This window comes from Homo sapiens, chromosome 9, assembly GCF_000001405.40.
Source record: "Homo sapiens chromosome 9, GRCh38.p14 Primary Assembly".
Classification (NCBI taxonomy): Eukaryota; Metazoa; Chordata; class Mammalia; order Primates; family Hominidae; genus Homo; species Homo sapiens.
The window spans coordinates 119,736,951-119,748,169 of NC_000009.12; the positions used below are offsets into that span (position 1 = coordinate 119,736,951).

The 11,219-nt window shown below is 40.1% G+C and overlaps 2 annotated features.

Moving 5' to 3' along the window:
* Positions 277-336: an enhancer, noted in NCBI's record as "active region_28890". NCBI's record gives its function as "activates an Ori minimal core promoter by ATAC-STARR-seq in GM12878 lymphoblastoid cells {active_cell/tissue: GM12878}" and the evidence as "EXISTENCE:reporter gene assay evidence [ECO:0000049][PMID:35858748]".
* Positions 357-406: an enhancer, noted in NCBI's record as "active region_28891". NCBI's record gives its function as "activates an Ori minimal core promoter by ATAC-STARR-seq in GM12878 lymphoblastoid cells {active_cell/tissue: GM12878}" and the evidence as "EXISTENCE:reporter gene assay evidence [ECO:0000049][PMID:35858748]".

Genomic DNA, 11,219 nt, shown 5'->3' on the forward strand with positions numbered 1-11,219 from the left:
AGTCATGTGTGGCTGTGTTAACACTACATGACTAAAACCAATCCCCCAGTCCCTTCCGGCTGCACACCTCGCCGCCTCCACTGCCTCCATGCGCTGATTTGCATCCAGGCAGGTTGTGTAAACAAGGCTGTTAGGGGAATATAAATAACCACAGCCTGGACTGTGGTTCAACAGTCTGGTCTGGGGAAATCAGAATTTCCACTTGTCTCCCATGGCAAGGTGGAGCCTCTTAACTGTTCACAAGGTCCTTGATTCTCACCCTCTCCCTCCCTAGATGCTGGTGCTGATATGTGGTGCTGCTTGGCTTCCTCCAGCTCAGCTCCTCCTCCACTCCTGCCTTTACAGCCATAGATGCTAACTTGCCGAGTTGTCAAACAGAACCAAGCTCTGTTCTCACTTTGCCGGGGCAGGCTGGGCAGGCGAACAGAGGCTGAGCTCCCTTCAGAGAGACATCCCCATATACAGTATGACCATTTCAAGATCATAAACTCAGTCTTATTCCATCACATGGCCCCCAGTGGCTAATCTAGTTCATGTAGTTGAGGTAAACATCAGAGTTGTCCAGCCTCCAGTTTACATTAATTCCAGCTCCCTGCTGTATGACCTTGGACAAGTTTACTTAAACTTTCTGAGCAGTCATTTTATTGTCATCTATAAAGTGAAGGTGATAATTATGTCTACTTCTTAGGATTATTGGGCAAAGGAAATCTAATGGTGTACTCCAAGTGCTTAGCATGTTTCTTGAAAAAGTAGGCGCTAAATAAATTGTAACTATTGTTAATACTATTCTGGTGGTAATGGTGATGGCAGTGTCGTCAGTGCATATTGAATGAATTCAATCAAAGTATTGATACCTATTCCCCATGTTTCTGTACACCCACGTATAAGACTGGTCTTAAATGATAGAAGAGGATTCCAAAGAATTGAGAAGCATCTTTGATGCTGTGGAAGAAACCCAGGGCCTGGAGTAAGAAGGCCGAGACAAATTCTAACATAACAACTTGAAATCTACATTTGTCAAATTCTCTAAATTGTAGATCAGTCACTCATAAAGCAGGAATCCCAATAACTTCCTTCCCAAGGTTAATTTGAGAACCAAGTTAGATGATGTTTTGAAAATAGTATTGGGAGTTATTTCTTTCAAGATTTAACAGTAGCCATCACGTAGATAAATCTCTCTAAATACAGGAGGTATCCAGAAGCATCATGAAGATTAGAACTTGGCCCTGCCCTGAGGAACTTCTTTTAGCAGTACAATCTCTTTGTTGGTGTTTATAGAGTTTCCTTCCTAGACCAGCTCTGGGTTCTGGTCTCAGCTGATCCCATTCCCCTTCTCCTTACCACATAACAACCACCCAGGCCATCTTCCTAGTCTCTGAACACTTATTCAACCTCAAGGTCTTTGTCGTTGTTCTTTCTCTGTCTGGAACACTCTCCTCTGGATGGCAGCTTCGCTGGTTTCCTTGCACTATTCTCAAAGCTTCGTCCATGTACTATCTCCTTGAATATCCTTCCCTGATCCATAAATCAATGAACTCCCAGTTGTCTTCTGTCACTTGGCTCTTTTTAATTTTCTGCATAACACTTATTATCTGAACCTGTCATGTTTATTCATTTGATTACTTGCTGTATCTGTTCCTCTCACTGAAAGCTGAGCTTCATGAGAACAGAAACTTTGCTTGTTCACTGCTCTGTCTCATGGCCTAGAACATTCTGGGCTGCTCCAAATATAAGCGTTGGAGGAATTCAGGTGGGCAGTAGAGGTAACAGAAGAGAAGTCACTCTCTTTTCCCTGGAGAAACTTGCAATCTAAACGAGGACTTAAGATTTACTCAAATTAAATCTGGCAGGACACCATGCAATGGGAAATAGATAAAAGCATATTTGTCTGAGCTTTATTGTCATTTGGAACTATTGAAGTCCCAGTCTTTTTGCATTCGGAGGAAACAAAGCTCCAGAGAAAAACAAACAAAAATCCTTAATTACCAGTGGTGCCACTCACACCTCATTCTTTAACAGGGCATAAACAGGGGAAGGGAGAGAAACAATGCACGATATCCCCAGCAGGGAGTCAGACCCCCTCTGATTTGGGGCTGTCACTTTTATTATTATTATTATTATTTTGAGACAGAGTCTTGCTGTGTTGCCCAAGCTGGAGTGCAATGGTGTGATCTCGGCTCACTGCAACCTCCGCCTCCTGGGTTCAAGTGATTCTCCTACCTCAGCCTCCTAAGTAGCTGGGATTACAGGTGCACACCACCACGCCCAGCTAATTTTTGATTTTTTGTAGAGACCAGGTGTCACCATGTTGGTCAAGCTGGTCTTGAACTCCTTACCTCATGATCCACCCGCTTCAGCCTCCCAAAGTGCTGGAATTACAGGCATGAGTGACCATGCCCAGCTGGCGGTCACTTCTTAAATGCTTGCTCTGTGTCAGTGTTTAAGAAGTGATAGCTCCAAATCAGAGGAGGTCTGACTGTGTGGCTGTCACTTCTCAAACACTTGCCATGCCAAGCACATTTACATTGTTATCTCCCTTAATCCTCACAGTATCCATGTGAAGTAGATACTATTTACTATTATTATTATTACTATCTCCATTTCACAGGTAAAGAAGTGAGTTCCTCACTGCTAAAGCCCCTTGTATTAACCACCAGCCTACACTGCTTCTCCTGCCCTACTGAGCCCTTCTACCCTAAGGTGATGATTCAGCATCCCTGCTTTGGTTACACCCAAAATTTTAAGCACACAACAACAAAAATACACACCAGTCAAACAAACGTGTTGGAGGAGGAAGCAGCAGGAGGAATTAACATTATTTACTTTAAGATTTATTATTCAAAAGTCCATTAAAACAAATTCCTCACTGAATTCTTTGCTGTGCCAAAAGCCTGTCCGTTGGGATAAATGTATCTTCTCTTTAGTCACATCATGTGGCTGTAAATTTATATTTACATTTTAATATTATATTCTTTATTTTCCTTTTCCCCCTATTTATGAGAAAACTCAGAATCAAATTCAGTTCCTCATCCTAGCAGGTGTGTCAATTCATTCATTTGTTCAATAATGAAAACAAAATCAACAATTACATTTAGATGTATAGATACAGATGTAGACATATAGCATAAACAATTTGTTATGTGCTGGGTTAGCAAATTAGCTCAACTCAGAAGGCATATTTATTATTTGCTCGTGTAAATTTGTTTAAATCTGTCTTTACATTTAATTTACCTTTTCTCTATTTCTTAATTTGTCACCGCAATATTTTGGAGAAGTTGGTAGAAGATAAACCTTAAATAAATAAAGTCATAATGTTACGTCGTAAAGACATAAAAATAAAATTAATCTGGCCTCATAAGTACTAGTGTGACAGAAGCAGCACACATATAGAATCATACGTATGCAGTTTTATTCTTTCACATCAATAACTGTATCTCAACACCAATCTTATAAGTCAGAGAGGCCCAGGAACTCATGCTTCTTCAAAGATGAAGCCAATTCATATTTCTTGGTAAAGTGAAGATGTTAAGTAAATACCGACCAATCATTAAAAGTGTATTTGCTGAGATGAAGTCTGTGGCTGGGAATGTAGGGATATGTATTTCACCATTAAGTGACAACAGGAAGCTCTTTCCCTACCAGTCAGTTGCCAAGCCCTATCAAATCTGCCTTAAAATGACTCTTCAGTCCATCTCCATCACCACAACCTTGGTTCAGGCTCCCTGAACTATGTAATACTACAGATTTCTGCATCTGGTAACCCCCAATTGCCACTCTCTGTCCCTTTGTTCTCTTGCATGCCATTCAAACAATCCCTTTGGTTCCATTTTCTTTTTCTTTTTCTTTTTTTTTTTAATAATTGCCATTTTCCATTTTTATTTTTGTTTACTTCCAATTTTTATTTTAGGTTCAGGGGATACATGTGCAGGTTTACTGCATGGGTAAATTGTATGTGGCTGGGGTTTGGTGTACAAATTATTTCATCACCCAGTTAGTGAGCATAGTATCAGATATGTAGTTTTTTGATTCTCACCCTCCTCCTACTCTCCACCTTCAAGTAGGCCCCGGTATCTATTGTTCCCTTCTTTGTGTCCATGTGAACTCTGTTTAGGTCTCACTTATAAGTGAGAACATGGCGGTATTCAGTTCTCTGTTCCTGTTAATTCACTTAGGATAATGGCCTCCAGCTGCATCCATGTTGCTGCAAAGGAAAAGATTTTATTCTTTTTTATGGCTGCATAGTATTCCATGGTATATATGTACCACATTTTCTTTATCCAGTCCACTGTTGATGGGTATCTGTGTCCTTACTATTGTGAGTAGTGCTGCAATGAACACATGCGTATGTGTCTTTCTGGTAGAATGATTTATATTCCTTTGCATATATACCTATTAATAGAATTGCTGGGTCAAATGATAGTTCTAAGCTCTTTGAGAAATTTACAACTGCTATCCATAGTGCACAAACTAATTTACATTCCTACCAGCAGATTGTAAGGATTTCCTTATCTCTGCAACCTCACCAGCATCTGTTATTTTAAGTAATGGCCATTCTGACTGGTATGGGATAGTATCTCATTGTGGTTTTGATTTGCATTTCTCTAATGATTAGTAATGAGCATTTTTTTTCATATGCTGTTGGCCATGTGTATGTCTTCTTTTGAGAAGTGTCTGTTCATCTCCTTTGCCCATTTTTTAGTTGGTGGATTATTTGTTTTTTGCTTGTTGATTTGCTTAAATTCTTCATAGAGTCTAGGTATTAGGCTTTTGTCAGATGCATAGTTGCAAATATTTTATCCCATTCTGTAGGTTGTCTGTTTACTCTGTTGATAGTTTCTTTTGCTGTACAGAAACTCTTTCATTTAATTAAGCCCCACTTGTCAATTTTTGTTTTTGTTGTAATTGTTTTTAGAGTCATTATCACTAAATCTTTACCAGGGCCTATTTCCACAGTGGTATTTCCTAGGTTTATTCTAGAGTTTTTATAGTGTCACGTTTCACATTTTAATCTTCAATCTGTCTTGAATTAATTTTGTATATGGTAAAAGTAAGGGGTCCAGTTTCAATCTTCTGTATATGGCTAGCCAGTTATCTTAGCACTTTTATTAAATAGGGACTCTTTACCCATTGTTTGTTATTGTCAATTTTGTTGAAGATCAGATGGTTGTAGGTGTGTGGCTTTATTTCTGCGTTCTCTAACCTGTTCCATTGGTGTATGTGTCTGTTTTTATGCCAGTACCATCGATCTATTTTCTCAAGAGTGAAATGCAGATTTCTTAGCTTATCACTCAAAATCCTCTACAACCAATCTTAAAAATGTACCCCTCTCAACCCACCCACCCTCTGTGAACCAGTTGGTGATCTTGTTTCTCAGGTCTAGAGAGAGAGGAAAATGTGGCTGGGATCTCACACCCAGAATCTTCAAGCAACTGCCTAATGTGACTGCAAATTCCACAGAGAGATATGTAGTAGGCTAAGCACTCATGCTATGAAGCTCAATGGGTTGGAAGTAGAAAGTGAGACTCAACTCAGGAGGTGGGACTGGACTTCAGAGACAGAGCTCAGATACTGAAAAAAATTGAGGACTAGCTAAAACCAGGACAGGGTGGAATCAACTTTCCATAAGACATGCCCACCAGCATGCCATGTCAGTTTACCATTGCCATGGCAGCACTTGTCCCTTTCCATGGCAATGACTTGATGACCCAGAAGTTACCCTTTATCTAGAAATGTTTGGATAATCTGCCCCTTAATTTGCATATAATTAAAAGTGGGTATAAATATGACTGCAGAACTGCCTCTGAGCTGCTATTCAGCACACTGCCTATGCAGTAGCCCTCCTCCACAAGGAGCAGTACCTCTGCAGCTGCTGTACACTGCCACTTCAATAGAAGTTGCTGTCTAACACCACAGGCTAGCTCTTGAATTCTTTCCTAGAGGAAGCCAAGAACCCTCCCAGGCTAAGCCCTAATTTTGGGGCTCATCTGCCCTGTATCAGTTTCACTACTCTCAGTCTGTGGAAGCCTAATGATATGGTTTGGCTGGGTCCCCACCTAAATCTCATCTTGAATTGTAACTACCACAGTTCCCTTGTGTTGTGGGAGGAACCCAGTGGGAGTTGATCGAATTATGGGGGCAGGTCTTTCCTGCACTGTTCTCATGATAGTGAATGAGTCACACAAGATCTGATGGTTTTAAAAAACAGGAGTTTCCCTGCACAAGCTCTCTCTCTCTTTGCCTGCCCCCATCCATGTAAGACATGACTTGCTCCTCCTTGCCTTCTGCCATGATTGAAGGGCCTCCCAGCCATGTGGAGTTTTAAGCCCATTAAACCTCTTTTTTTTCCCAGTCTCGGGTATGTCTTTATCAGCAGTGTGAAAATGAACTGATACACCTAACTTACCCAATCTCATCTCACAAAACCTAACTTTTCTCCTCAATAAAACAGAAATAATAATAGGACCTATGTCACAGGATATTGTTGTCAGGATTTAATTATAACATGCCTGTATAGTGCTTAACACAGTGCCTGACATATGATTAGAGCTATGATTATCCTTCTTTTATAAGAATTTGCTCCCAGATCCTATGTGGTCTCCTAGTCCTGGTGAGCTATGTTGGACTTGATGTAAAACATGAAGATTTCTAGTATACTTTGGCCTAAGATGTTAACTAAGAGCAGGCTCATGTCTGTTCTGATCCCTTATCACAGGTTCATTGATGTCTTATCATTCTCATGGTACTGGGAGGCTCAGAAAGCTAAACCCAAGAAAAATCACATTTAGTAGGCATGGGGTAGAGAAGGTTGTTCTTAAGATGTAGAGCCACCTCTCCAGAATTAAGGTAGCTTTCTGCAAGAGGAAAGCCCAGGTATGGCATTTCACATTAGCTGCATGAATCAAAAGGGTGAATCAAAAAATCAAATATGCTGTCAAGAGCCAGGAATTTATTACCTCTGTTTGCCTCAATGAATGTTTCATCTTTTTGTATGTAACCAGCAATGCCTTTATCCTTACCCACATTGAGCTTCTCCCCTTCCTGGATAGGCAGGGCCTGGATTCTCCTTACAACTTAGAACCTGCCACTAACACACACATTATTCAGGTTGATGTCAATGAGCCTTTGCTCAAGATTCTCATTCAGTTTTAGATGCCCCACTTGATTTCATTCATTCACTTAACAAATGGTTACTGAGCCCCTATTGAGAGGAAGGCACTGAAAGAGACACTGAACAAAATAAAGCCAGTTACTGATCTCATGAAGGTTCCAAAACCACGTGGAAAAGAGAGAAACAAAAATGTAAAAAACATATGGTACCAGCTAAAAATTAAATCATCAAAATGTAATGAGAAAGAACAATGTAGGAGACATAACATTTCTTGGGGGAAGGAGTAACAGAGAAGGCCTCTCCGAGGAGTAACATTTAACCAGAGACTGGAAAGGTGAGTAGAGTTAGCCAGGTAAAAAGGAGGGGGCAGGGGTTTCTAGCAATGGAAACAGTGTATGCAAAGGCCCTGAGGAGGGATCCTGAGAAAAAACCAGGAAGAGAAAGCCTAGAGAATGCTAGGAAGTGGTGGGCAAAGGGTAGAGTGGCAGAAGATGATACTGGGGACAAATGGCATGAGAGATTTCCCATTCACCTTTAAATAGCAATAGAAATGTCACTTCTTCTGAGAGGCATTGCCAGGCCACCACCCCATAAGACTTTATTGCCCCTTTTCTGCGGTTGACATCTGTTGTATTTGCTTTATAGAGTATATGGGCACTGTTGTGCTTGCCTAGCTCCCCATTACTAGAGCACAAGAGACTTAAGGCAAGGAATAAATCTTACTCATCTCTGCCTCCTCCACTCCCCCTGCACAATGCCCAGGACAAAATAATTGTTCAATGAATGTTGCATTTCTTTTGGAGATACAATGTCAAAGTCCAAATGACTTAGAAATGATATTTTAAAAATAAACTAGATCAAAGTTTTTGCCACTCCTATGAGTTGAACTGTGCCCCATGTTTTCTTGTCAATGCCCTATTTTTCTGTTTTCTCTCCAACTATTGTCTGATTAATTTTCTATTAACATTTGTCTATCTGAGCAGCTTCTAATAACCACCATACCACAAAAAAAACTTGATTCCAAGATGGCCATTTTGTCAGAGGGAGCCATTGAGTGCACTGAAGTCTGATAAATAATGAATGAACACAGAGCATTTAGAAGCTTGTGATATAAAAAGAAAATATAGGCCATAAGATAGATGGAATCACCTTGGCTCACAAACCTTGGATATCACTCTACAAAGTAATTTTGCGAATATTAAAATCATTTTCCTCAGTCACTGAACCTGGTGACAGGATAGGTCTGGTGTGGCATCCTGTAGCCAATATGGAAAAATCCTTCCAGCCAGCCACAAGTCTTGCCTGAAAACTCCCAATGGTGGAGTGACAGTCTCCAGAGAAGATACATTTTGATTCTGCAAGGTCAAGGGTGAGAATATGGGATGAGTTAATATTTCCCCAGTGTTTTATGAAATATGGGTATCACATACCATCTCACACCAGTTAGAATGGCAATCATTAAAAAGTCAGGAAACAACAGGTGCTGGAGAGGATGTGGAGAAATAGGAACACTTTTACACTGTTGGTGGGACTGTAAACTAGTTCAACCATTGTGGAAGACAGTGCGGCGATTCCTCAGGGATCTAGAACTAGAAATACCATTTGACCCAGCCATCCCATTACTGGGTATATACCCAAAGGATTATAAATCATGTTGCTATAAAGACACATGCACACGTATGTTTATTGCGGCACTATTCACAATAGCAAAGACTTGGAACCAACCCAAATGTCCAACAAGGATAGACTGGGTTAAGAAAATGTGGCACATACACACCATGGAATACTATGCAGCCATAAAAAAGGATGAGCTCATGTCCTTTGTAGGGACATGGATGAAGCTGGAAACCATCATTCTCAGCAAACTATCGCAAGGACAAAAAACCAAACACTGCATGTTCTCACTCATAGGTGGGAATTGAACAGTGAGAACACTTGCACACAGGAAGGGGAACATCACATACCAGGGCCTGTCGTGGGGTGGGGGGATGGGGGAGGGATAGCATTAGGAGATATACCTAATGTAAATGATGAGTTAATGGGTGCAGCACACCAACATGGCACACGTATACATACATAACAAACCTGCACATTGTGCACATGTACCCTAGAACTTAAAGTATAATAAAAAAAGAAAAAAAATGAAGGATTAACATTATTATTTACTTCTCGAAATCCTACGGGTTTTTTTTGGAATAAACATTGTGTTGGTTAACTGCAAAAAAAAAGAAAAAGAAAAAGAAATATGGGTATCACATTTGATATAAATGGCTGTTCCATACTGATAATCTATCTATGATCAAAAATGGGAAAATTCTAAGTCCAACCAAAAGCCAGAAATTTTTTCTGTCTTTTAAGAGTCTTTAATATTTTAATATGCTTTATTAATTGCATAGATGGGGATATAGCATTTAATGTTTCCCAAATCTATTTGAACCATAGATTATTTTTTATGTATATCTATTACAAAGACTTATAATAATGACTGAGACAGTCTGAGTAAGATCTTAGTAATTTAGTCCCTTAAATAACCATACAAATTGGAAACATCCCATGCTTTAGAATTAGAAGGCTTGGGTTCAAGTCTCTAATGAGTCATTAAAAATTATGTCCTTGATCGTGTCACTTAACCTTGAAACCTCAATTGCCTCACTTTTAAAGGAAAGTGAAGTCATCAGTTCCAACTTCACTGGTTTAATGGGATGATTAAATATGTTAATAGATATTAAAGGCCTTCTAGGAAGTATAAGCACAATATAATTTTTGTTTTTATTATTAATAAAGTTCAATATAAAGACTAACCACCCAGAGAAGGATAATGGCAAACCTATCAGAGTAGGGAGATTTAAGGTGGAAACTAAGAAATCAACAAGGCAGTTTTGGGGCCATCAGCAAATAGACTCACTGTGGTTATAAATGTCAGAACCATGGAGAGCTCCATTTGATGCTGTTGCTCATCTGAATCTACCCGCTGAGTTGCGTCCTAAGATAGCCCACACTGGCCAGGTGTGGTGGCTCACGCCTGTAATCCCAGCACATTGGGAGGCCGAGGTGGGCGGCTCACCCGAGGTCAGGAGTTCGAGACCAGCCTGGCCAACATGGTAAAACCTCATTTCTACTAAAAATACAAAAAAAAAAAAAAAAAAATTAGCCAGGTGTGATAGTGGGTAAGCGCCTGTAATCTCAGCTACTCAGGAGGCTGAGTCAGGATAATCGCTTGAACCCAGGAGGTGGAGGTTGCAGTGAGCCGAGATTACACCACTGCACTCCAGCCTGGGTGACAAGAGCAAAAAAAGATAGCCCACACCTCCCTAGTTGTTCAACTCTCCTGGCCTTATTGAGAGCTAAGATTTATCCAACAAGGAACTACCATGGCTTGTATGGAAGGCCTAATCTATCCAAAAAGACACAAAGTTCAGAAGGTGTGTCAGGTCTGATTGAGTGCAGTGATTTCATTTTCCAGATCAAGTGTGGATCTCTAGTCATACTTATCACTAGTATATCTGCTTCCCTTGAGGTCTTTGATATGAGAGTTGTAAAAAAGTTACTTGTTTTTTGGACTCACCTTGAATTTCCAGATTCTTTACTTTTTCCCTTTTTCTTACTCAGAACACTTTACCCTTCCATCTTCGTCTTGACCACATAAATACCTGAAATACACACTTCAACTCAGTGTTCACATTCTTGGTGAAGCCAGCCAGAATGATGACCATCCCTCCCCATGCCTAAGTCCCATTAGACCACCTCAGCAGTAACACTTTTCCTAACATAGATTATTAAGAAAATGTCAGGAAGGTGTCTGGAAACACACATAGGATTTTAGTGGGTTTCTGTTTTTAATGTATATGCATTCCACTTTCTCTGAAATAACAGGATCCCTGAGACACCAGTTCAAGCATGTTGAATAGGTCCTTCCAAACATATAAAGGAATTCCTGCTATGTACACTACATAGACAACACTAAAATGCAAAGCAGGGAAGTTATTTTTCAAAATCTACCTTTAAATACTCTAGGGACTCTGCAAACCACCTTTCCCAGACTGCTTTGTCATCTGGGGTTCTGCCAGTAGAAAACACTAGAGAGAGATTAGAATGAATAAGGAGAAGAGGG